Raw genomic sequence first — 26,541 nt, 5'->3', positions numbered from 1 at the left:
TCCTGCCTCAGACTCCTAGCTAGGATTGCCATGCTCAGCTAATTTTTAATTTTTTTGTAGAGATGGGGTCTGGCTATGTTGCCCAGGCTGGTCTCAAACTCCTGGTCTCAAGTAATCCTCTCACCTCAGCCTCCCAAAATGCTGAGAATACAGGCAAGAAGATCTCTTGAGCCCAGGAGTTCAAGGCTGCAGTGAGCTATGATTGCACCACTGCATTTCAGCCTGAATGATACTGGATGAAGGATGTCAAAGAATACACATTTTGAGGTTTCTGCCTCCTGAGACATTATACCAAGTTACAACACCCACCCTCAACTCAGAATGAGAACTTGTTTTGAACATAAAGAGAAATATGTATTATGTATTTATTTATTTTATTTATTTGAGATGGAGTTTCACTCTTGTTGTCTAGGCTGGAGTGCAATGGTGTGCTCTCGGCTCACTGCAACCTCCACCTCCCGGGTTCAAGTGATTCTCCTGCCTTGGCCTCCCAAGTAGCTGGGTTACAGGTGTGCACCACCATTCCCAGCTAATTTTTATTTTATTTATTTTTTTCAGATGGAGTCTTGCTCTGTCACCAGGCTGGAGTGCAGTGGCACTATCTCGGTTCACTGCAACCTCTGCCTCCTGGGTTCAAGTGAGTCCCCTGCTTTAGCCTCCCAAGTAGCTGAGACTACAGGCACCCACCACCATGCTCAACTAGTTTTTTGTAGTAGAGACGGGGTCTCACCATGTTGGTCAGGCTGGTCTCAAACTCCTCACCTCAGGTGATCCACCTGACTTGGCCTCCCAAAGTGCTGGGATTATAGGTGTGAGCCACCGTGCCCGGCCTACATATTAATGAAATACTGACAAAGTATGAAGAACAAATAGATGACAGAAAATCCAATGCTAAAGACAATTTTCCTCACCAAAATTTACCTGAAAGTAAATTTGGTTCTCTTGTAAAATTCAATATAACATTTGTACAGATAACTAAAATCTGTTAGTGAAAAGAGAGCATTTTAAAGGCACTAACCAGAATACCTTTCAAGATTAATATACAATAATTTTTATCATTTTAATGTGTAAAACATTATGACACTTACCCAGTAAATAAAATGTACTAACAACTACCTTGTTTAGAAAGTATTTTTCTAAATGAAAGTTGGATAACATGCAGAAAAGATGTTATCCCATTCCTTATAAAAGTAGTTATATTTTTATAAATATGCTAGAAATTCACATTTAAAAAAAATCTGGGCTGGGAGCGGTGGCTCACACCTATAATCCCAGTACTTTGGGAGGCCAAGGCGGGCAAATCATGAGGTCAGGAGTTCGAGACCAGCCTGGCCAACACAGTGAAACTCCATCTCTACTAAAAATACAAAAACTAGCTGGGTGTGGTGGCACACGCCTGTAGTCCCAGCTTCTCAGGAAGCTGAGGCAGGAGAATCGCTTGAACCTGGGAGGCGGAAGGTTGCAGTCAGCCAAGACCACACCACTGCACGCCAGCCTGGGTGACAGAGTAAGACTCCGTCTCCAAAACAACAACAACAACTATATATATATATATACAAAAATACATGTATGTATTTTATCTTCACGACACCTTATGTGAATATAGACAATATTTCCACGTCGATCCACATTGATTTTTCCAGGAATGCAAGGAATTCTTCTTTCTGTTTCTTTTGTTAAAAGTTTCTTACACAAACAGCATCTATAAACAAAGAAGATACAAAAAACATCCAGGAAGAAGAATGTAAATGTAGTAAATTAAAGAATATAGCTGCATTATAAAGTACACCAAAGAAAAAAACATGTTAGCATACCTATACAATGTTGCTGCATTACTCCGAGAATCTGGATTCAAGTACTCAGGATCAAACAGTCTTTCAATCTTCTTACAAAAAAGTTTGCTATTAACAACAAATGACCAAAATATTAATTTTCTACACTACTTTATAGTGATGAAAATAAACAAACCAATCTGTGCATTTGTAAAATAAGATTAATAAATCCTTAGTGGCTCTCTTGGGAGTTTATAATACATTTTTAGTGTTCTAAGTAAATAAAATTAACAGTTTATTATTAAGTAAATAAAATAAAGCAGTTCTGATGAGAACTGCTTGATCAATCATCTATTTTCCCATAAAAAATAAGATTGATAAATAGCTATCTTTCAGTCATTTTTAAATTTTATTTTTTATTTTTACTTTTTTTTTTTGAGACAGAGTCTCACTCTGTCGCCCAGGCTGGAGTTCAACAGCACGATCTCTGCTCACTGCAACCTCTGCCTTCCGGGTTCAAGCGATTATCCTGCCTGAGCATCCCGAGTAGCTGGGACTACAGGTGTGCATGACCATGCCCAGCAAATTTTTTGTATTTTTAGTAGAGATTGGGTTTCACCATATTGGCCAGGATGGTCTCGATCTCTTGACCTCATGATCCGCCCACCTCAGCCTCCCAAAGTACTGGGATTACAGGCGTGAGCCACTGCACCCGGCCTTATTTTATTTTTTTAGAGACAGGGTCTTGCTCCATCACCCACGCTGGAGTGCAGTGGCACCTCAGACTCCTGGGCCTCAAACTCCTGGGATCAGGTGATCTCCCACATCAGCCTCCCAAGTAGCTAGGACTACTGTGTGCCACCACATTCAGTTAATTAAAAAAAAAAAAAATCTGTAGAGATTGGGGCTGGCTATGTTGCCCAGGCTGGCCTCAGACTCCTGGCCTTCAAGTAATCCTCCTGCTTTGGCCTCCCGAAGTGCTGAGATTACAGGCTTGAGCCACCTTGCCTGGCCTCTTTTAGTCCTTTGTTACTGGAATATGCAACATTAAAGATTTTGAGAATTTAACAACCGAGGCCTACCAATAACTAGGTATATGATCTTTAGCCACTTACTTAACCTCTTTGAACCTTGTTTTCTCAAGTATAAAGTGTGGTTAGTATGTCCAATCTCATAAAGTTTTATGAGGGTTAAGTGATGTTTTTAAAGAGTACTAGATATAACGTTAAGCATTCAATAAACGTTAATTATTATGCATAATATAACTGAACTTGAGTCTTCTAAGTATGTCTTTAATTCTAAATGTATATCCTACCTGTCTCCATCTTTCCTTGTGTAATGTCTTCTGCTATTAAAAGCCAAATCTGGATTTAGAATTCCATTTCTGTTTTCAATTATTTAGCTCTTGGATAATTCCTCTCTGTGTTGTTCCCCTTAAGGATTAAATTCTTGAATAATCCCCTGCATTATTAATTTATTCCTAATGGATCATTCTGATCAGCATATAAACATAATCTAGTATCTCCCTTCCTAAAAAAACAAAAAATCCTCTCTTGAGCCTACCTATCCCTAATAGCTACTGCTAATTTTTTCAGCAGTCATGCAAAGTAAAACATCCGGAAAAAAGTTTTCTAAATCCACTTGGTCACATTTCTGTCCCCATCTTACTCTATGTGATGGCAGCATTCCACACATTTGGTCACTTAAGCATTATCTTTCTTTGGAAACCTTTTTTCCTTCTGCCTTTCTTTCTACTTCACTGGCTCCTCCTTCTCAGGTTCTTAACTGGCTACTTCTCCTCTGCTGCATCTCTAAATATTGGGTAGCCTTTATCAATACTATTTTGCTAACAATTAAAAAATGAAATACAGTAGCATTTACAATAGCACCAACAATTTAATTTATTAAATAAATTTATTTATTTAATTTATTTTAGGAATAAATTTAATTTAAAAAAGAGGTTGGGTATGGTGGCTCACACTTGTTAATTCCAAAACTTTGGGAGATCAAGGTGGGAGGATGCTTGAGCCCAGGAGTTTGAGGCCGCAGTAAGCCATGGCTGTACCACTACCCTCCAGCTTGGGTGACTGAGCAAGAAGACCCTGTCTCAAAAAATAAAATAAAATAAATAAAAAGGAAAAATATCTCTACATTGAAAACTACAAGACATTGGTGAAATAAATTAAGGAGGATTCAAATTAATGGAAGGTTATACCATATTCATGGATTGAAAGACACACTATTATTAAAAGGTTAAATCTTCCTAAATTGATCTACAGATTACATGAATCCCAAATTCTAGCAGGTTTATGTGATTGTGAGAAAGAGAAAATGGGTAAGCTGATTATCAAATTTATATAGAAATGCCAAGAACTTAATAGACAACACTACAATCTTGAAGATAGGCAAAACTTGAGAATTTAAATTACCAGATACCAAAAATGATTATAAAGCTATCAAAATTAAGACAGTGTGTTGGCTGGGTGTGGTGGCTCACGTCTGTAATCTCAGCACGTTGGGAGGCCGAGGCGGGCGGATCACCTGAGGTCAGGAGTTCAAGACCAGCCTGGCCAGCATGGTGAAACCCCGTCTCTACTAAAAATATAAAAATTGGCTGGGTGTGGTGGTGGGTGCCTATAATCCCAGCTACTTGGGAGGCTGAGGCAGGAGAATTGCTTGAACCTGGGAGGCGGCGGTTGCAGAGAGTCGAGATCTCATGATTGCACTCCAGCCTGGGTGACAAGAGTGAAATTCTGTCTCAAAAAAAAAAAGACAGTGTAACAGTGTGCTACTGATACAAGGATAGACAAAGAAATCAACAGAACACAAAGGACAATTCGGAAACAGACTTCACATATAGTAAACGTACTAGTGCAATTCAGTGGGGGAAAGGATGGTCTTTTCAACATATGGTATTGTGTCAACTAGATATCTATTTGGGGAAAAAAAAATGAACCTTGACCCCTACCTCATACCACAAAAAAAAATTAATTCAAGATGAATAACAGAAAAACATAGGACAATGTCTTCACCACTTTTAGGGAGGCAAAGATTTATTGAACAGGACATACAAAAAAAGTATGGTCTCATCCAGTTCCATGGTTTCAAATCTCATCTACTCTTAAATTTCTATTTTAAGTCCTGACCTTTGACCTAAACTCCAGATTAATATATCCAGGTATCTACTTGCCATCCCACTTGAATGTCCAAGAAGCATGTTAAATAATCTCAAAAAGAACTAAAGCTATCTCTTGATTTCCCTTACCCTATTCCTTCCTCTCCCAATCTTTCCTTTCTCCATTAATAGCACTACCATCCACTTAGTTACTCAAACTGAAAACCTAATAATTATCCTGGAATCCTCTCTCTCTCCCCACATCATTACATTCATAAATCTGTCAAATCTAACAACTGAGTCCATCTACTTCTTTCCAGCTCTACCGTTTCTACCCTAGTGCAAACCCTTTCACTTCTCAACAGACTACTGCACCAGCCTCTTAACAGGTCTCCTTGCTTCTTAAATCCCTAATGTCTATTCTCCACATAGCAACCAAAAATGGCCTCTTAACAACAAATCAGATCACGTCACTCCCCTGCTTGCATTCACACCTAAAGTATATCCTCCTTGCTATGACCTAAACAACCCTTAAATGATATAACCACTGCTGACCTCGTTTCATACCACTTTTCCCTTTATCTAAGGTCTGTTTTAATAATTTTTATTTGTTTAGAAATGGGTCTCACTATGTTGCCCAGGCTGGAGTGCAGTGGCTTTTCAGAGGGATAATAGTAGTGCCCTACAGCTTTCAACACCTGGCCTCAAGCAATCATCCCACCTCAGCCTCTTGAGTAATATCTTCATAATTTTTAACATAATTCACTATCACGATATGTTCATATGGCCATTATACAAAGTAACTAATTACTAATTTTTATCTTGAGCCATTGGCTCTGGATAAATTTTACTTCACTTTACTTACTTCATTTAAAAATAGAAATATATTTCTAAATATATTCTAAAAATAGAGTATTTTGGCCAGGCATGGTGGCTCACACCTGTAATCCCAGCACTTTGGGAGGCCAAGGCGGGTGGATTGCTTGAGCCCAGGAGTTCAAGACCAGGCTGGGCAACGCAGCAAACCCCCATCTCTACAAAAAATACAAAAATCAGCTGCGCATGGTGGCGTGCGCCTGTGGTTCCAGCTACTTGGAAGGCTGAGGTGGAAGGATCGCTTGAGCCTGAAGGTACAGGTTGTGGCTGGTATCTTGCTACTGCACTCCAGCCTGGGCGACAGAGAGAGACCGTCTCAAAATAATAATAATAAGCTAACTATAAATGAAAAGAGAGAGTAAAAATTAATTTCAAAAACTGGGCAACAAAGTGAGACCCTGTCTCTACAAAAAGTTTTTTTTTTTTTTGAGACGGAGTCTCGCTCTGTCACCCAGGCTGGAGTGCAGTGGCGTGATCTCGGCTCACTGCAAGCTCCGCCTCCCAGGTTCATGCCATTCTCCTGCCTCAGCCACCCAAGCAGCTGGGACTACAGGCGCCTGCCACCACACCTGGCTAATTTTTTGTATTTTTAGTAGAGACGGGGTTTCACCATGTTAGCCAGGATGGCCTTGATCTCTTGACCTCGTGATCTGCCCGCCTCGGCCTCCCAAAGTGCTGGGATTACAAGCGTGAGCCACTGTGCCTGGTCAAAATTTTTTTTTTTTTTTTTAATTTAGCTGGGCATGGTGGTGCATTCCTGTAGTCCCAGCTACTTGGGAGGCTGAGGTGGGAGGATCACCAGAGCTCAGGAGGTTGAGGCTGCAGTGAGCCAAGATTGCACCACTGCACTCCAGCCTGAACAACAGAGTGAGAACCTTTCTCAAAGAAAAAAGAAAAAAGAAAGAATATTTCACTCACATGAAATAGAAATATATTTCTTTTAACAGGAGTATTAGGTTTAAAATTAAACTTTTGAAATTACCTTTTAAATTTATCTTTTTTGTCCTTTAAATCATCAACTTCATTGTGTGAGAACAGATCAGCTATACGTGTGAGAAGATTTGCATTAATACAGTTCATGTTGCATGGGGTAGCTACTATGGCATTCATATTTTTGTGGCAATACTGAATACACTGTTCAACCTAAAAAATCATAGAAAATAAATGTCGAAAATAGTAGCATGAAGGACAATGTCATAGCAATACCTTTCAAAGATAAAATTCATTAAAAGTCTAATCCATATATTGCTAGGCACTAACTGGGTTTTGCCACCCAGTTTTTGACTTAATCTGTACTGTTCCAAAGGCAATCTAGCAGGTCAAATTTGTAACAACATATATACATACCTAAAAAATTATTTTCAACCTTCTTTAGAATATTTCAAATAATAATAATGCATCTTTTAAAATTGTGGCAGGTATAAATCTTAGTCTATAAACTCAAGTATACAGAACATGTAAACTTCTTTTTTTTTTCTGAGATGGAGTCTTGCTCTGTCATCCAGGCTGGAGTGCTGTGGCACGATCTCAGCTCACTGCAACCTCTGCCTCCTGGGTTCAAGCGATTCTCCTGCCTCAGCATCCCTAGTAGCTGGGCCTACAGGTGCCCGCCACCACGCCTGGCTAATTTTTGTATTTTTAGTAGATACAGCGTTTCACCATGTTGGCTAGGCTGGTCTTGAACTCCTGACCTCGTGATCCGCCTGCCTTGGCCTCCCAAGTGCTAGGATTACAGGCGTGAGCCACCGCGCCTGGTCTGTAACTTCTTATAATTAAACTTAGTTAGAACTTTAAGCCTCCTTTTCCCTGGGTGGCAGAAAATTTCAGTCAATTCCGAATTTTCTCAGTTGTGCTGGGTTTGCTCTCTTCCTTCCATCCTCTACAACATACCTCTACAACCTGAGGTATGTTTATTTACTTTAAAAGTAAAGAGAGGATAATCATGTATTCTTCCAAATATTTATGCTTATGGCATAAAAATTATCCTTTAGGGCTTAGATTTCAAAATTCAAAGGTTTCAAAAATTTCAAAACTCAAAAACTCATTTAGTCTCTGCTTTTTTTCTGTAACCCTTCCCTGATACCAGCTGGGCTAAATGGGGAAGAGCTAAGGAGTAGAAAGAATACAGGAATATAGGTGGCTCACACCTATAATCCCAGCACTTTGGGTGGCCGAGGCAGGAGGATCACTTGAGCCCAGGAGTTTGAGACCAGCCTGGGTAACATAGCAAGACCACCCCACCCCATCTCCATTTAATTTTAAAAATAAAAGAATACAGGGGACTAGTACAAACCCCAAAGAGTCAAATAAACAACTTCACATTTGCTAACATAGAAAAGGAGTATTCTGGCTGGGTGCGGTGGCTCACACTTGTAATTCCAGCACTTTGGGAGGCCAAGGCAGGTGGATTGCTTGAGATTAGGAGTTCGAGACCAGCCTAGGCAACAAAGCAAAACCCCGTCTCTACAAAAAATAGAAAAATTAGCTGGGCGTAGTGGCATGCGCCTGTAGTCCCAGCTACTCGGGAGGCTGAGGTGGGAGGATCACTTGAGCTGGGGAAGCAGAGGTTGCAGTGAGCTGAGATCATGCCACTGCACTCCAGCCTGGGTGACAGAGCGAGACTCTGTCTCAAGAAAAAGAAATTATATTCCTGAATTAACAATTTTTTAAATTGTTTTTTCAATTAACAATAATTTTAATAAAGTCTCAGAATTTTCTAGATACTTGAAGGAAAAGAAAGCATAAGTGAACAGAAGCACTTTGATTTTTTTTAAGTCAATACTTACTAGTGAATCCATTTTTAAAAACTCCGAAGAAATAAGAATTGAAATGACATTTCCTGGCTCTAAAAAAAAAAAAAAATTAGATTACCCTTTTGATGGGTACCCCAATCTCCTCTGAACAGGCTCCTTCTTACCTTAAAAGAGGACATTACTGGAATAAGAATAATTTAATACAATCTTATTATAGCTTATGGGTTAGATACATAAAATAAAGAAAATTCAATGTTAAAACTTAGGGTATGGAGAAAATGTACAATAAATTTACCCTGGCGTTAGATTCATATAAAGTAAAAAGACTCCAGCTAAAGATATCACATATGTAATCTTCTCCTTGACTAAATCAGGGAAAAAGATAATTGAGACTATAATTCATTGCATATACAAGTAATAGAAAACTTTTTAAATGATTAATGAGAGCATTTGTTATTAGAAAAGCTAATTTAAAGAGTTCAATGCTTGTTATGAACAAATATTTAATTTTAAAAGATTCTGAAAGATAAAAAATTTATTACTGCAGAGTCCTAAACTTACTTCCTAAAGGCATAATGAGTGAGCTTTCAGACATACAGAAAAAGAAAGGGGGATGCCGCCTGATGCTGTAGTTTAGCAAACCTGTCATCTCCCACGAGGTATGTTTAAGGAAAGAAAACTCTGTTTTGCATCATTACAGTACTAACACAATTCTAAATAAACGACTAAGCAGACAATGGTTAAAATAAGTAATCCCAATCTGTCTCTAAATAACAACTCTAGATTCAAGGTTTTTTGTTTTTTTTTGTTGTTGTTTTTTTTTTGAGATGGAGTCTCACTCTGTTGCCAGGCTGGAGTGCAGTGGCGCAATCTCTGCTTACTGCAACCTCCGCCTCCCGGGTTAATGACAGTCTCCTGCATTAGCCTCCTGAGTAGCTGGGACTACAGGCGTTCACCACCACACGCAGCTAATTTTTGTATTTTTAGTAGAGACAGGGTTTCACCATGTTGGCCAGGATGGTCTCCATCTCTTCACCTCGTGATCCGCCCGCCTTGGCCTCCCAAAGTGCTGGGATTACAGGCGTGAGCCACCACGCCCGGTGAAGGCTCTTAAACACAAATGGTGAAGGGAGGAAAAAGCTGGTGAAAAAGCACCTCAGGAAATGGTAATGTACCCCATTCCAGTTAGGAACCAGTGGCAGGTTATTAGAAATTTAATTAAGCATTTTGGTAGTTTTCCTGGTTAGAATAAAGACTTTTTTTGGTAAATGTTTACATTTATAAACACTGATTTAAGGTCAAAGATAACAGAATGACTAGCTTTGCTGCTTTTTTTTTTTTTTTTTTGAGACAAAGTTTCACTCCTTCGCCCAGACTGGAGTGCAGTGGCATGATCTTGGCTCACTGCAACCTCCGCCTTCCGGTTTCAAGCGATTCTCCTGCCTCAGCCTCCCGAGTAGCTGGGACTACAGGCACCTGCCACCACGCCTGGCTTATTTTTGTACTTTTAGTAGAGACGGGGTTTCAACATGTTGGCCAGGCTAGTCTTGCCTCCTGACCTCAGGTGATCCGTCCGCCTCGGCCTCCCAGTGTGCTAGGATTACAGGCGTGAGCCAGAGTGCCGGGCTTTTTTTTTTTTTAAATTGAGACGGAGTCTCGCTCTGTTGCCAGGCTGGAGTGCAGTGGCGCAATCTCTGCTCACTGCAACCTCTGCCTCCCGGGTTCAAGAGATTCTCCTCCTCAGCCTCCTGAGTAGCTGGGACTACAGGCACACGCCACCAGGCTAATTTTTTTTGAATTTTTAATAGTGACAGGGTTTCACCATGTTGGCCAGGCTTGCTGCATTTCTTTTACCTTTACTACACACATAAATATGATGAATCGAATAATTTTTTTTCTCTCTCTACATGTTTTGATTTTTATTGCACACATACATATTATAGCTGGTTAGTCTGGAATCTCTGGATTCTGGCTGAAATTTTTGATTTAGCAATCTTGTAATTTTTATTTAAGGACCACTAGAAACCTCTCCTATTAATTTGATCACTAAAGAATACAATAAATTATTAAGTTTTTTAAAAAACTTTTACACTGTCAGCATAGATTTATTTTCCATAAGAGTTCTATTTTAATACTACTGTAAATAGCAATTCTAGTGCATAGAAAGACTATTAAACCACAAGTGTGATCATACAAGTATATGCCCATTGAAATATTACTCAGTAATTATTCTTATTACAGTAATTCTACTAGTAATACTAGTAGTATGCTACCATTTAGAACACTGGCTCTTGAACTTTTGATCTCAGGACCCCTTTACAATCTTAAAAACTGAGAATCCTAAAGGGTTTTTCTTTATGTGGGTTGTATCTGCCAGTATTTATCACATTAGAAATTAAAATAGAGGAAATCAAAAAATATGAATTCATTTACAAAGAACAAAAAACCTATTTACATGTTAACATATTTTTATTAAAATAACTATGTTTTCTTTTCTTTTTTTTTTAGAAAGGGTCTCACTCTGTCACCCAGGCTGGAATGCGGTGGTGCAATTTTGGCTCACTGCAGCCTCTGCCTCATGGGCTCGTGCAATTCTCATGCCTCACCCTCCCAAGTAGCTGGGATTACAGGTGGGTGCCACCACGCCCAGCTAATTTTTGTATTTTCAGTAGAGACGGGGTTTTGCCATGTTGGCCAGGCTGGTCTCCAACTCCTGGCCTCAAGTGATCCACCCACCTCAGCCTGTCAAAGTGCTGGGACTACCAGTGTGAGCCACCATGCCCTGCCTAAAATAACCACCTTTTCTAAAATGAAAAATATTAGGTCGGGCGCCGTGGCTCATGCCTGTTATCTCAGCACTTCAGGAGGCTGAGGCGGGCAGATCACCTGAGGTCAGGAGTTCGAGACCAGCCTGACAAACAAGGCAAAACCCTGTCTCTACTAAAAATACAAAAATTAGCAGGGCGTGGTGACATGCACCTGTAATCCCAGCTACTCGGGAGGCTGAGGCAGGAGAACCGCTTGAACCCGGGAGGCAGAGGTTGCAGTGAGCTGAGATTGCACCGTTGCACTCCAGCCTGGGTGACAAGAGAGGACTCTGTCTCAAAAAAAAAAGAGTAAAGAGTAGCACTGTTTGATATTTTTTGCAAATCTCTTCAATGTCTGACTTAACAGAAGACAACTGGATTCCCATATCTGTTTCTGCATTCAATTTGTGGGTAGCCTACACCAAACTTGACAAATGGTAGTTTCTTAAAGGTTAATTGCAATGTATCTGAACTGTATCAGTGAACTTTTCTGACTCCGTTAATAACAAAATTCTCTAATTTATCTTTCACTTTGCATGAATCTTTCACTCACGCATGACTTTTTGAAAATAAAATGTATTGGTCATTTGGAAAATGTTGGCTCAATGAGTTATACAGATATTCCAAATGTTGAAATACTTCATTGTACAATATATTTAAAAATCACATTCATTAATATGACCACCAATCTCATCAGAAAAGTCAGGTATTGAGAAGCCTTCTGTCAAGCACATGGAAGCAAGTTAAGTTTTCCAAAACTGTAATTCTCACTGGAAACCTTGAATTTTGTCACTGACAGCAGGTGACAAATGCTTTCAGCTTTAACTGAGCAGCTCATTTTCAAGAAAATGTCTGCCAAACACCTAAGTCTGAATTACCATTATTTCTCTGTCAGTTGTTCTCTCAAGTAAAAATGGTCTTCAATTTTTAAAAGAGCAGCTAATTTACCTCAGGACTGAAAATAATCGCACAAGTGCTTTTCCTCAAGAGAATCATGTGTTGCTGTGCAGTAGGAGTGGACTTTCCATTTCATCACAGTAAAGATATGTATATTCAATGGTCAAGATTTAATAAAATTAGTAATTTTTACTGCTTTACCAAGGACATTCTTAAGTGAAACTAGATTTTTTTCTTTTCTTTTTTTTTTTCTTATTAACTATGTAACTATGTACTGCTAGTACAGTTTGGTGCCCCTGCCTTGATCTTGTCTAAAGCTTCAACAGTTTTACCCACTATTGCTTTTGTACCATCTGAGCAACACAGTGAGAAAGTCAAGTGACATCTTGGTATTATTAGGCAAACTGTTTTGACCTTGTAGACCCTCTAAAAGGGTCCCTAGTATCCCACTGGTCCATACACCATACATTGGGAACTGCTGATCTAGAGATCTGTTCATTTGCCATAAATTTACTATAATTTACTAAAAAAGATGAGGTTATCAGTTTCCTAAAAGGCTGTTACTAATATGAGCATAAACACCGGTGTCCAAACAATTTTCCACATTTCACTTTTGGCCTGAAGAAACTACCAGGTGACACACAAATTTCACTACAAATTAAGCAACAGATTGTTTTTTACCTAAAGTGGGCATCTCACAATCTTTATTCTCCTTAGTGTTCCTTTTAATGTATTTTATCAACCAGTTGAAAATGTGAACGTCGCAATGAACTGAAATGTCCACCTCTTCCCAGCGCTGGGCATCCATAGATAAATATTCAGCAAAGTACTTCATTTCTGATATCAAAAGATCTCGCGGGCAAGTAAAATCTTCTTTCAAGTTTTTTGCTTCATCACACACATGGATCACCATGTTTGGCCTTCATAAAAATGTTACACAAAAATGAAATTATTAGAGTTTTAGAAAAGGAGTCAAGAATACTGACATTTAGTGAAGGGAAGAGAACAAGATGTTTTTGAAAATTCTGAACACAAATCAGTTTTATAGGGTCTTGACATTTTTCAAGTGTCTTGCTAGCCTGATCATATCTTAGATTATGACTAATTTTAGCAAATTACTGACGTAATAAAACAAAATATGGTTACTACAGGACAAATAATTTACACAGTTTGAAATTTCTAATTTCTTTTTCTTTCTTTTTTTTTTTTTTTTAGACGGAGTCTCTCTCTGTCACCCAGGCTGGACTGCAGTGACGTGATCTCGGCTCACTGTAAGCTCCGCCTCCCGGGTTCATGCCATTCTCCTGCCTCAGCCTCCTGAGTAGCTGGGACTACAGGCGCCCACCATGGCGCCCAGCTAATTTTTTTTTTTTTTTTTGTATTTTTAGTAGAGAGGGGGTTTCACCGTGTTAGCCAGGATGGTCTCAATCTTCTGACCTCGTGATCCGCCTGCCTTGGCCTCCCAAAGTGCTGGGATTACAGGCGTGAGCCACCGCGCCCAGCCTTGAAATTTATTTTTCAAGTTATACATTAAAAATAAAGTTTATGGCCGCACACGGTGGCTCACACCTGTAATCCCAGCACTTTGGGAGGCTGAGGCGGGTGGATCACGAGGTCAGGAGATTGAGACCATCTTGGCTAACATGGTGAAACCCCGTCTCTACTGAAAATACAAAAAATTAGCTGGCCATGGTGGCATGCACCTGCAGTCCCAGCTACCTAGGAGGCTGAGGCAGGAGAATGGTGTGAACTCGGGAGGCGGAGGTTGCAGTGAGCCCAGATGGCTCCACTGCACTCCAGACTGGGCGACAGAGCAAGACTCCGTCTCTAAATAAATAAATAAATAAATAAATAAAGTTTATAAAAATAATACCATTTCACAAAGAAAAATTAAGCAACACACTCTAATTCCTGTGGGGAACATAAAACAGCACTTTTACACAGTTATGGGTGTGGGAGAGAGATTATCATTAAATACTAAAATTTTCAGATTTTTTTAAAAAGGAAAAATAGCTATAATTCTTCACTAAAGAATCAAATGAATAACTAGCATGGCTTTGTTACTTTTAACAGCAAAACAGTTTGCTTCTAGGCATTCACATACATAAAATATAAATATATTAAATATAAATTAATAAATGTAGTTAAAAGCATTCCTAAGACTACAATGTACTTATTTCCATATTTAAACATAATTTAAGCACAAGTTTAAATGACACATCAGAGAGTCTGCTTCAAAAATTATAATCTCCTTGAATTTACTTTCTTTGAAAATTACGTCGGCTGGGCAAGGTGGCTGACGCCTGCAATCCCAGCACTTTGGGAGGCCAAGGCAGGAGGATTGCTTGAGCCCAGGAGTTTCAGACCAGCCTGGGTAACCCGGTGAAACCCTATCTCTACAGAAAAATTTTAAAAATTAGCCGGCATGGTGGTGCATGCCCGTGGTCCCAGCTACTCAGGAGGCTCAAGTGGGAGGATCACCTGAACCCAGGGAGGTCAAGCTCCAGTGAGTCGTGATAACATCACTGCACACCATCCTGGGCAACAGAGTGAGACTCCGTCTCAAAAACAACAAAAAATTGTATCACCTCAAAAAGAAACATCAGTGTGATCTACATCTGTCTTCATGTCATTACAAAAGGAAGAGAACAGAGAGAGACACACTGTCCTACAACATGAATTTAATTGAATTGTGTGTTTAATTCACACATTCCTGATACAAAAAAAAGTACATTATTGGAGGTCCAGGCACGGTGGCTCACAACTGTAATCCCAGCACCTTGGGAGTCTGAAGTGGGAGGACTGCTTGAGCCCAGGAGTTCAGGACCAGACTGGGCAACACAGTGAGACCACGTCTCTAAAAAAAAAAAAAGAATTAAATAAAATTGGGCTACCAGAAAAAGGATTATAATCAATGCTCTATCAAAGTCAAAAGAATTTAAACAAATTTTCACAAAATTGCTCTTCCAAAGAAATTATGGTCAAAATATAAACAGGTAATAATTGAACTAACGAAACAGAGTTTCCATAGTTTTTTAGACTAGAGTATAAAATATTAGATTATTTCAGTAAAAAATTTTTGGCAAATTTTTGTGTCACACAAACCAACCAATCAGTTAAAAACCTGTGTGAATATGGCCAGATGCGGTGGATCACACCTGTAATCCCAGCACTTTGGGAGGCCAAGGCAGGAGGATCACTTGAGGCCAGGAGTTCAAGACCAGGCCGGCCACCATGGCGAAAGTCCATCTCTACTAAAAATACAAAAATGGGCACGGTGGCACACACCTGTAGTCCCAGTTAATCAGGTGGCTGAGGCATGAGAATTGCCTGAGCCTAGGAGGCAGAAGTTGCAGAGAGCTGAGATGGAGCCACTGCCCTCCAGCTTGGGTGACAGCGTGAGACTTTGTCTCAAAAGAAAACCTCCAAGACTGTGTCAATAAACTAAAAATAACTGAACTACACACTTTAAAAGGGTGAATTTTTAAAACTGTGGTTAAATATACAAAAAGTAAAATTTACCACTTTAACCACTTTTAAGTTCAGTGGCATTAAGTATATTCACACTGTTGTGCAATCAGCACAATCATCAACCTCCAGAGCTTTTTCAAAGGGTTCATTTTATGACATATGAATTATATATAAAGCAAGCTGTTCTTGAAAATCTATAAAAAGTAAGATTTTCATAAAAATCCATGAAAAGTAAGTATACAAAGGAACTTTCAGAAATAATAAAAATATTCTGTGTCTTGATTTGGGTGATGGTTATATGGTACATCCATTTTTCAAAACTCATCAAAGTGAACACTTAACAATATTCAGTTTATTGTAAAAATAGGCAAAACAATACAAAACTATACAAAACTATCAAAACTTGCAATACACTGAAAGACATTTTAATTCTAAAATTTTCTATAATGAGTTATTATGTTCAAATAGTCCTAAAATACACATCCAATTTCTTTAGTAAAGTCGGAGAATTAATGGCATACAGTTTTTTTCCTTGGGTATTAAAATTCACTTTTTAAAGTTTTGTGTTAAGAGATATTACTTCTAATATTTATAAATATAAAAATAAAAATCTTTAAATAGAAAACTGTAATCCAATTTATAAATAATAACATGAATAAGTCATGTTTCGGTCAGTTCAACACATGAACTAAGCTGATTCCAGTAGTTTCAGCAATTATGCAATATGAAATTCCTACCTTATGGTAACCACCAATCATATATTTTATGAAGTTGATATTAATATTTAATCTTATCTAGCAAACAACCAGCCGCCTACCCTTCAGATTCTTCAGTCATTTCTCCACCATTATGAGTAGTACAATTTTCACTTTCTGAAGAACAATTCCTTGTGGAAGCTATACTATGTCTTCCTTAAATACAGAAACAAACACATACAAAAAAAAAAAGGTGGGGGTTAGTGTTTCTAGCTGAGAATGGGTTTTTATTTATTGAATGGTAATACTGTAAATGCATGGTTTCCAAGGCTAAAGATGGTACTTATCAGGGTGGCATTTTCCTTTAGTATTTCTAAAGATATATGGAAGAAACAGTACAAAAATGAATCATAAATTGCTAATGTTAGAATAAGGATTTCAAAAAATACTAATGTGGTGTGTACAAACAGGGATCAAATGTTCAAATGCCAACAGCATAGTTTTCTCTTTCTGAAGCAAATTTTTACATCAATACTCTGCCGCTGCTGAGATTAAAATAACTCGCTACACTCAGAGGATTTCTAAAACCAGTTATTATTTCCAATGTAATTGCAGAAAACATCTTTTACCCCACTACTGTGTCAGTTGAAGCTCTTGTTGACTATAATAAAGAGTGGCTGTAGGCTCAGCACAGTAGCATGTACGTGTAGTTCCAGCTGCTCAGGAGGCTGCGGCAGGAGGATTGCTTGAGCTCAGGAGTTCAAGACCAGCCTGAGCAACACAGCGCAACCACCATCTCCAAAAACAAAAAGAGTACCTGTATAAAAAAAAAAAAAAAAAAAAAAAAAAAAAGTAACATGAGAGACAAGCAAGAGTCTCTCAGGAAAAAGGAATATTAAGTAAAGGGCACAGGGCAAACCCCTCTAAAATAAAGTAAAAGAATATTCGTAGTTAAAAAAAAAAATACATGAAATTAACTAGGCCAGTAGATTAGAGTAGAACATTTTGATACAGTAAAGTGGGTTTTTTTGGTGATTGTATTTGACCTATATTTTAGCATTTAAAAATTTATTTTTAAAAATGTTTAAATTTTTTTACAGACAGTGTCTTGCTCAGACACCTAGGCTGAAGAGCAGTGGCTTGATCAAAGCTGACTGTAACCTTCACCTCCTGGGCTTAAGCAAGCCTCTTACCTCAGCCTTCCAAGTAGCTAGGATCACAGGTGTGCACCATCCACCAAGCTAATTTTTATTTTTTATTTTTTTGTAGAGACAGGGTCTTGCTATGTTGCCCAGGTTGGTCTTGAACTCCTGGCCTCAAGTGATCCTTCCACCTTGACCTCCTAAAGTACTGGGATTACTGATGTGAGCCACTGCATCTGGCCCTAAAACTTTTTTTAAAAAATAGCAAAGATAAACATGATTTTAAAAATTCAGGCCAGGTGCAGTAGCTCACGTCTGTAATCCCAACACTTTGGGAAGCTGAGGCGGACGGATGGCCTGAGCTCAGGAGTTCCAGACCAGCCTGGGCAACACAGCAAAACCTGGTCTCTACAAAAAAATACAAAAATTAGCCAAGCACGGTGGTGCACGTCTCTAGTCCCAGCTACTCGGGAGGCTGAGGCAGGAGGATCTCTTGAGCCTGGGAGATGGAGGTTGCAGTGAGCTGAGATGGTGCCACTGTACTCCAGCCTGGGCAACAGAACAAGACCTTGTCTCAAAAAGAAAAAACAACAAAATTCAGGAAGATACAAATATGAATACATTTCTCTATTAATGTTTATATTAGCCTTTAAACAAAGAAAGAAAAGTTGATTGGAATATATAATATTCTGCAGAATTTTCATAAGGGCAAGTACTACATTTTAGTTTAAAACCTTACCAGTTTTGGAAACTGCATCATGTCCAACTGGAGTCTCCTGAAATTCTCCATGTATGTCAAGAAGTGAGGATTTGATATATGTGGCTAAAGTTTCAACAGGACTCTCTCCAGCAGCCATTAGGGAATTATACTGGTTGTCAACAGGCGAGCTTCCACTGCTCTTTAATTCATCAAACCTTTTTGCACACTGTCATAATATAAAATGAAAGAAACAGAGGTTTGGGAATTTTTTTTTTTTTTTTTGAGACGGAGTCTCACATTGTCGCCCAGGCTGGAGTGCAGTGGTGTGATCTTGGCTCACTGCAACCTCCGCCTCCCGGGTTCAAGCAATTCTCCTGCCTCAGCCTCCTGAGTAGCTGGGATTACAGGTGCCTGCCACCATGCCCAGCAAATTTTTTGGATTTTTACTAGAGACGGGGTTTCACTATATTGGTCAGGCTGGTCTTGAACTCCTGACCTCGTGATCTGCCTGCCTCGGCTTCCCAAAGTGCTGGGATTACAGGCGTGAGCCACCATGCCCAGCGGTTTGGGAATTTTTTAAATAAAAAATTGAGAAGGTATTTTCTTGCCTTCTATTTGAAGATATTTTTCAACAATTACTTTTTGTAAGCAAATATTAACCTGCAGAGTAACATCTAGAATATTTGTATACATTTCACTATGCAAAAGCCTCTAACTTCTATTTTTATATTTTAAAATTCAGGGTAGAGTTTTAATGTGCTTTAACTCAAAGGCATATATATTTATGCTCTTGTAAAACAAGGAAGACCAGGCTGGGTATGGTGGATCATGCCTGTAATCTCAGCACTTTGGGAGGAAGTGGCAGAAAGATCGCTTGAGGTCAGGAGTTCAAGACCAGCCTGGGCAACGTAGTGAGACTCTGAGAGAGACTGTGAGATGCTGAGGTGGGAAGATCACTTAAGCTTCAAAGGTCGAGGCTGCAGTGAGCCATGATGGCACCACTGCACTCCAGCCTGGGATGATAGAGAGATCCTGCCTCAAAAAAACAAAAACAACAACAAATATATATATAATATAAAATATATATTTATATATAAAATATTATATATAAATATATATACTATATATAATATATAAAATTTATATACTATATATAATATATAAAATTTATGTAATTTGCATCTAGTCAAATTATATAGATGTCTATTCAGTGTTAATACATGCATTTGAATATGTAAAACTCAAATATTTTTCTCTCTCTTGGTGTTTCTTTAAATTGATGACCTTTTCTGAACATTTTCAGGAGATATTCTGGGGGGACTGTTATTTACCTCTTTTGGTGTTAATCCAGGCACGAGCCTTGCTATAGTTTCCCAGTTGATAGTCTGAGGGATTCCAATTAATGGATAAAGGATCATGTCCAATACCATTTGGTTATTATTGTTCAGGAAATTGTTGTTTTCTGAATATCCACGACTCATCTTTTGGAACTAGGGATAGGGAAGACAAAAAGCTTTATTTAAACCCGAAATCCAAATGTTTTCAGAACATTACAGATCAGTTATAATTCATTCCTAATAATTATCTGCTACCATGTAAAGGAAAAGTAAAACTGACCTAAAATAAACATAGTATAGCCTAAATCTCTTCACAAAAAAGGATTTGAATATTATGCATTGATAAATGGATGTATAAAAAGATGAAGAGATGAATAAATATACGATAAAAAGCCTAAAATATTTTTTATCTTTTTTTCTTTAGAGACAGAGTCCCCAATTTTACAAGATGAGGTTCAGAGTTGTTAAGTAATTTTTACAAGATCACAGCGCTAAGAAGAGGCAGAGCAAGGATTCAAACCAAGTAAAAATGATTCTCAAATCCATGCTCTTTCCATTCCACACAAGACGTATACTATGGGCTAAGACAGCAGATTGAAAATAATGGTTTAGGGTCAGTAGGGACAGAGTCTAATATATTTTGAAGTTAGTTATGATTCAATTAAGTAATTTTGAAAGCTTCTGTTTGTGAGGTGTGGGGAGAGGGTTATGATATCAAATAGAAAAGAAACTATGCATTCAAACATAAAACATTTGAGGAACTTTTTTATATCAATGTGTACGAGATACTTCTTACTTTATTCAAACATTTACTGAGCCATCACTGTGTGCCAGGCACTGCATCTAAAGTGGGAACATTAATTTACAGATGAAAATAATGACAAAAGTTTTGACTAGTTATATCTATGATTCAGCTGACACTTGATTCTGGGTTGGGAATACAATCTCCAAACATAAACTGCTCCTATGGACAAAAATGATCTATTTTAGGACGAGAGTACAAAGCAGAGATTCGCTGACAGACCAGTACAATGGAAAAGGCAGCGTACACAGGAGTCTGAATCTCTGATTTGAGTTTTGGCTCTACTACCTGCTAGCCAAGGCAAGTCATCGAACCTTGCTGAAATGCAGCAACACAAGTAGGTGATGGTCATACCTCTGACTGACAGCGTGGAAAGAAATAAAGGGATTATTTTGTGAAAGCACTTTGAAGATGATATAAGTATCTCACAAATGAGATGCTGCATAAATAATAGTATTTAGATTGTGCTGAGGGTTATGTGGAATATTTAAAACACAGCACAGGGGTCGTGAATGTGGTACGCTCTCAATAAATGTTAATTATAATTAGTACTATGTCATTGTTTACATAAGACACTGGTAGAGGACATCAGCTGGTAGACAACATAAAGTTATCCTACATGTATTTGAATGAACATTAAAAGGAAACAAAAACAGAAAAACATTTAGCACACTAAAATCACAGCTTCCTACCAACCAAAGATGTACCTTGTAGAAGGCCAGAATAGTGGAGTGGTTAAGTGTGCAGACTCTGGAGTCAGACTGTCCAAGTTTGCATCGCAGTTCTACTACTTATGGCATTATCTGGTTCAGATTAGTTAATCTCTGTGCCTCAATTTCCTCATCTGTAAAACAAAGATAATAATAGTAGCTAGCTTACATACTTCTGAGGATATATGGAAAGTGCTACCTGGCAAAGAGTGAGGACTACATAATGTGTGTAGCAGCACTACCACTCCAGAGATCCTCAGATTAAACAGATTCAAAAAGATTAATGTGACAGATAAAAGGAGAGACAGTAACATTCCAATGAAGTATGCCACCAACAAAATGACTAGAAAGAGTCAGCTACAGATTCTTACCCAGCTTTACCACTTCTAGCAGTGTGCAACCTATGGCTCCAATGGTCTCAGCTATACTGTAAGGAAAACAATACCTAACCTTTGGAGTTACGGTGAGGATTAAATAATACTATGTATAAAGCACCCGCACACTGTCTGGCATACAAAAGGTGCTCATAAAATAAATAAATTATTACTATTATTTTTCTCCTCTCCACTTTGGCCATTATTGGCACAAAAATTTCCAAGAATTAGTTTAATAACTGTAAAGCACTGCCTTGTGCCCAGTTGGAAACATATTTTACAGAACTTCATTGTTTTTTAAAGAGTTGGTCATCTCAAAGTAAGATGAAAAAAGTGAGTGAATCTGAAAAGTAATGCCCTTTTGCATGTCCCAGGCTGAGTTTGATGAAAACATGGGGAAAGAAGACTTGAAAAAAGTCTTGGAAGAACCTTGGAAGGGCCCTGAGAAATTTCTGTTTATTTCTCTCTTTAACTCGCTGGATTATGATTTCTTTGATGGGCTGGGCCTTCTATCTTTGATTCCCCAAAAGTGTGACCAGCAAGGCAGATACTGCCAAAATGTTTACTGAATTAACGAGAAGGTCACAAAACCTTAAGAGACATTTAATGTATCCTTTGGAATTCACTCCAAACTGCAGGTCCACAACTCATTTAAACATTTAAGTATAGATGGGGATGTGCAAAGATGGATGGGGATCATGTCCTGCTGGATTAATCAATTTAGTTTTGAATCCTTGAAAGACTTGCTTTCTCTCTAGAGAACAAAGCACTGATCTCTACTTGTTTGCCTAGTACTTGCATCACTTTTCATACCACACAATTTGGGAAGCATGTTAGAGCACATAGTGCGTTGTTGTTGTTGTTGTTGTTAAGACGGAGTGGCGCTCCCTCTCTCATCAGGCCAGAGTGCAGTGGCGCGATCTCGGCTCACTGCAACCTCCGCCTCCCGGGTTCAAGCGATTCTCCTGCCTCAGCCTCCCGAGTAGCTGGGACTACAGGCACGCACCACCACGCCCAGCTAATTTTTGTATTTTTAGTAGAGACAGGGTTTCACCATGTTGGCCAGGATAGTCTCGATCTCCTGACCTCGTGATCCGCCCGTCTCGGCCTCCCAAAGTGCTGGGATTACAGGCGTGAGCCACTGCACCCGGCCAGGGCGTTTTATTATAATTTGTTTGGGCCTTGGTAGAAAGCAATCTAAAATGGAATTCAGGGCAAGGATCTTCCCTGAGAGCTCATTTCTCTTCACTTCCAAAAAGATTCATTTAAAAGTTCAAAAATATTACCCACGTCAAACACTTAAAAGCTTACATTTCAAATGTGATACTAATTTATGCTATACATGTTTAAGAGTACTTTAAATCATCCAAATGAGAAAAAAGTTTTTCTGTTGACTTTCTCTTTATACAACTGTACTAGGCAAGGGAAGACCCCCCAGCATTAATTCTAGTTAAATGAATGTCCAAGAAATCAGAGTCTGAATTTAAGTATAAAAGGCATAGCATTGATGGATAATCCTTAATAAAACATAAATTATCTCGAAATAGCTGTTATAGTGCACCTCATTCAGGAAAGTATAAATTTATCAAAAACGGTGACAAGAAAAAGCTCAAAGTTCAAATTACTATGAAATCCACTCCCATTCATAAAATATCAAAATCTTGACAATATTTAAGGTAAAATACGTTATTTACCAAAAATAAAAATCCAATATGTTTAACAGACTTCATTTTTTAAGAACATACTTCCCCTCCCCTCCCCGACCCCCTTCTCTTGGTTTATGTATTTAATATACATGTATTAATTAAGAAGACTAGTCTAAGTCACTTCCACACCAGATAGAGGTCTACAACAGGAATCTGATATATTTTTTTCTTATTTCAAATAGAAAAAAAAGCTCTTGGAGACAGAGACGTTTTCCCTTAGCCAGTGGAAAGATGGGAAGAGAGGGGGCCCCGTGGGGCAGGCAGGCAGGCAGGTCAAAGGCCTCTGGCCTAACAGAGGGCGGCGGTAACACCGAGTCATCCCGGACCGGGAAGAAGCCTTGTACCCAGGCTTCCTGACTTCTGCACACACAGGAGATCGGAGTCAGCTGGAGGAGAAAGTAAAATCACATCCCAGAACCGGCATGAGGTCAAAGCCAGTCAAACCTTGGGCCCGGAGGCTCACTACGCGGCGCGTCCTCGGGGCACCCCCAGACCTTCGCGCCCCGCTCCCGCCCGTGGAGGCACAGAAACTCCAGGGGCGCAGAGCGGACAAAGGCGCCGGGCAGCGGGAGCGAGGCGGGGCAGAGGCCCGGGGCGCGGCCGGGCGCGCAGAAGCTGGGGTTCCCGCCGCTGTGCGCGGGCGGGACGGTCTGCAGGGACATGGACCGGGCGGGTGACGGGACGCGGGCCAGCTGGCTGCTCGAGGCGCGGCCGGCTGAGGCTGTGCACGGGGGCGTTCGGGGGCGTTTGGGCAAGTGGGACCCCGCCCGGGGTGGGAAGCCGCGGCGGGAGCCGGCTGGCTGTGAGCGGTACCGCCCCATGCCGCACTTCCCGCCCCGCGGTGGGCACCCGAGCCCCCTCGGCGTCTCGCTCACCTCCACAGGGCCGCGGCTGCCCTCGCAGCGCCTCTGTTACCTGCAGTGGTCGGCACCGCCCGCGCTCGCGCCCTGAAGCTGCCGCTACCGAGCCCGCAACCCCGTCCGCAGCGCCTCACACCCCGCCCCCGCCCGCTTGCAGGCGGCTGCGGAGACTAGCGCCGAGGGGTGGGGGAGCCGCCGAGCCGACGCCGCCCGGCCAATCGCGGGCCAGCGCCGCAGCGGCGGAGCCAATGAGCGCCGAGCCCCTGCCGGGCGGGAGGGCACCGGAGGGGCGGCGGCGGCTGACTGTCGCCTTGCCTTGCCTGCTGCTTCTCCTTCCTCCTCTGGCATACACTCCCAGGCTTGTCGCAGTGCAGCGTCCCCACCCTCCCAGCGTCTTGTCTCTTAGCAACCAGATCCTAGGAGCCTGATCTTAGGTGACCAACCCTGAGTCCAGAAGAAAGGGGGATATACAGGAGATAAAAGATTAAAGAATGGATGAAATTGTTCTTGGTGCAGATCATTTGGTACACCGCTTAGGTAGAGCGGAAAGATCGCATGATGAGGGACACCGAAAGTATCTTTTAGACCAAGGTCTTTGGGTAAGGACCTGAAGTGTCTTTACCAGGAGGTAGCTCTTTAAAAATGTAAATAGCTCTGGATTACAAATTCGGTTTTCATACATTAATAGGGTGTGTGTGTGTGTGTGTGTGTGTGTGTGTGTGTGTTATTGTGAGGAACACTACTATTGGGCATCTAGTAAAATGCAAACGGCTCAATATTGTAGGGTAACTGCTACATGTCAACATTTCTATCTAATTTCCACTTGGTCTATTCTGAGAACCAAAATTAAATGTTAGGATTAGAAAGAACAGAAAAAGTAAAGCCTTAACCAAATGAATAATTACTACGAGATCTGATGATTAAGTAGAGATTAAGTGGTTCACTGTACAGAATGTCAGGAGTTTTTACCAATTGTATCATCCTGTGACTTTCTGCAGATCTTTTACGATTTTTGTTCCACAAAGACATTAAAGTGGCTGGGTGCGGTGGCTCACACCTGTAATCCCATAATCCCAGCATTTAGGGAGACCAAGACGAGAGGATTGCTTGAGCACAGCCTGAACAACAAAGTGAAACCCTGTCTCTACCAAAAAAAAAAAAAAGTTGTTTTTTTTTTAAGTTAGCTGGGCGTGGTGGCCCCAATGAGCTATGTTTGCACCACTGCACTCCAAGCTGGGCAACAGAGTGAGACCCTGTCAAAAATAAAAATAAAAATAAAGTTAGGCAAGTGTCGTATCATAAGATGTTAGGTTAAGTCAGGTAAATTCTTTTTTTATTTTTTTGAGATGGAGTCTTGCTCTGTTGCCCAGGCTGGAGTGCAGTGGCACCGTCTGGGCTCACTGCAACCTCCACCTCCCTTCAAGCGATTCTCCTACCACAGCCTCCTGAGTAACTGGGATTTACAGGCGCATGCCACCATGTCCAGCTAATTTTTTGTATTTTTAGTAGAGATGGGGTTTCACCATGTTGGTCTTGAACTCCTGACCTCAGGTGATCTGCCCGCCTCGGCCTCCCAAAGTGCTGGGATTACAGGCGTGAGCCACCATGCCCAGCCAGGTAAATTATTATTATTTTTTTTTTGGAGACAGAGTTTCGGTCTTGTCACCCAGGCTGGAGTGCAATGGCGCGATCTTGGCTCACTGCAACCTCCGCCTCCCTGGTTCAAGTGATTCTCCTGCCTCAGCCTCCCGAGTAGCTGGGATTACAGGCGTGTGCCACCACACCCGGCTAATTTTTGTGTTTTTAGTAGAAATGGGGTTTCACCATGTTAGCCAGGCTGGTCTTGAACTCCTGACCTCAGGTGATCTGCCCACCTCAGCCTCCCAAAGTGCTGGGATTACAGGTGTGAGCCACCACACCCAGCCCCAGCCAGGTAAATTCTTAAACAGAAACTGCTTGCCCTCTACTTCCCCTCTTTCTTCTTTCATATAGGCTGGTACTTAGTTGTGATGGTGGTACTTTACAACCATGAAAACAAGAATAATGCATAAGGGGCTGGGCATAGTTAGCTCACGCTGTAATCCCAGAACTTTGGGAGGCTGAGGCAGGAGGATCACTTGAGGTTAGGAGTTCGAGACCAGACTGGTGAAACCTCATGTCTACTAAAAATACAAATATTAGTCAGGCGTGGTGGCGGGTGCCTGTAATACCAGCTACTCCAAGGCTGATGGGGGAAAATCACTTGAACCTGAGAGGCAGAGGTTGCAGTGAGCCGAGATGGTGCCACTGCACTCCAGCCTGGGCTACAGAGCGAGATTCCATCTCAAAAACGACAAACAAAGAATAACACATAAGGGACTGTAGAACACAATATAGCAGGAACCTGGGCCCTGAATTACCTTCTGAAGCAGAGTACCTCTGGTCTGTTCCATGAGAGAAAAATGTTTATCTTAACTACTGTATTTTTTAGTCTCTTTGTTACAGTGGCTTAGTGTATTCCCTAGAAGAGAAAGTTGGTTCCTGA

At 40.3% G+C, this 26,541-nt stretch overlaps 1 protein-coding gene across 7 annotated transcripts in view, besides 6 other annotated features; it reads right to left on the bottom strand.

The window, feature by feature from the left end:
- Positions 1-24,189, bottom strand: part of SANBR (SANT and BTB domain regulator of CSR) — a 72,162-nt gene extending 47,973 nt beyond the window's left edge. For 3 of the 7 annotated variants that reach the window (NM_001330433.2, NM_001129993.3, NM_001330434.2), the window contains exons 1-10: positions 24,033-24,189; positions 21,075-21,211; positions 19,560-19,718; positions 18,268-18,454; positions 16,509-16,602; positions 12,902-13,140; positions 8,550-8,608; positions 6,746-6,906; positions 1,815-1,901; positions 1,592-1,702 (exon numbers count right to left, since the gene is read on the bottom strand). In NM_001330433.2, coding sequence (NP_001317362.1) covers positions 1,592-1,702; positions 1,815-1,901; positions 6,746-6,906; positions 8,550-8,608; positions 12,902-13,140; positions 16,509-16,602; positions 18,268-18,454; positions 19,560-19,709 — 1,088 coding nt within the window. In that variant the 5' untranslated portion in view covers positions 19,710-19,718; positions 21,075-21,211; positions 24,033-24,189. Of the gene's footprint in view, positions 1-1,591; positions 1,703-1,814; positions 1,902-6,745; positions 6,907-8,549; positions 8,609-12,901; positions 13,141-16,508; positions 16,603-18,267; positions 18,455-19,559; positions 19,719-21,074; positions 21,212-23,601; positions 23,852-24,032 lie in introns of those variants that run through there. The other 4 variants (NM_032506.4, NM_001330436.2, NM_001330435.2 and 1 more) reach the window with 3 other exon arrangements.
- Positions 23,299-23,798: an enhancer, noted in NCBI's record as "H3K27ac hESC enhancer chr2:61293397-61293896 (GRCh37/hg19 assembly coordinates)". NCBI's record gives its function as "activates a minimal SCP1, AML or CMV promoter by ChIP-STARR-seq in primed H9 embryonic stem cells {active_cell/tissue: H9 hESC(primed)}" and the evidence as "EXISTENCE:reporter gene assay evidence [ECO:0000049][PMID:30033119]".
- Positions 23,299-24,409: a biological region, named in NCBI's record as "H3K27ac hESC enhancers GRCh37_chr2:61292895-61293396 and GRCh37_chr2:61293397-61293896".
- Positions 23,590-23,649: a silencer, noted in NCBI's record as "silent region_11524". NCBI's record gives its function as "represses an Ori minimal core promoter by ATAC-STARR-seq in GM12878 lymphoblastoid cells {active_cell/tissue: GM12878}" and the evidence as "EXISTENCE:reporter gene assay evidence [ECO:0000049][PMID:35858748]".
- Positions 23,660-24,009: a silencer, noted in NCBI's record as "silent region_11523". NCBI's record gives its function as "represses an Ori minimal core promoter by ATAC-STARR-seq in GM12878 lymphoblastoid cells {active_cell/tissue: GM12878}" and the evidence as "EXISTENCE:reporter gene assay evidence [ECO:0000049][PMID:35858748]".
- Positions 23,799-24,300: an enhancer, noted in NCBI's record as "H3K27ac hESC enhancer chr2:61292895-61293396 (GRCh37/hg19 assembly coordinates)". NCBI's record gives its function as "activates a minimal SCP1, AML or CMV promoter by ChIP-STARR-seq in primed H9 embryonic stem cells {active_cell/tissue: H9 hESC(primed)}" and the evidence as "EXISTENCE:reporter gene assay evidence [ECO:0000049][PMID:30033119]".
- Positions 24,040-24,409: a silencer, noted in NCBI's record as "silent region_11522". NCBI's record gives its function as "represses an Ori minimal core promoter by ATAC-STARR-seq in GM12878 lymphoblastoid cells {active_cell/tissue: GM12878}" and the evidence as "EXISTENCE:reporter gene assay evidence [ECO:0000049][PMID:35858748]".

Source organism: Homo sapiens, chromosome 2, assembly GCF_000001405.40.
Source record: "Homo sapiens chromosome 2, GRCh38.p14 Primary Assembly".
Lineage (NCBI taxonomy): Eukaryota > Metazoa > Chordata > Mammalia > Primates > Hominidae > Homo > Homo sapiens.
The sequence above is the reverse complement of the archived record's forward strand: the minus strand, read 5'-3'. Positions and strand labels throughout refer to the sequence as shown.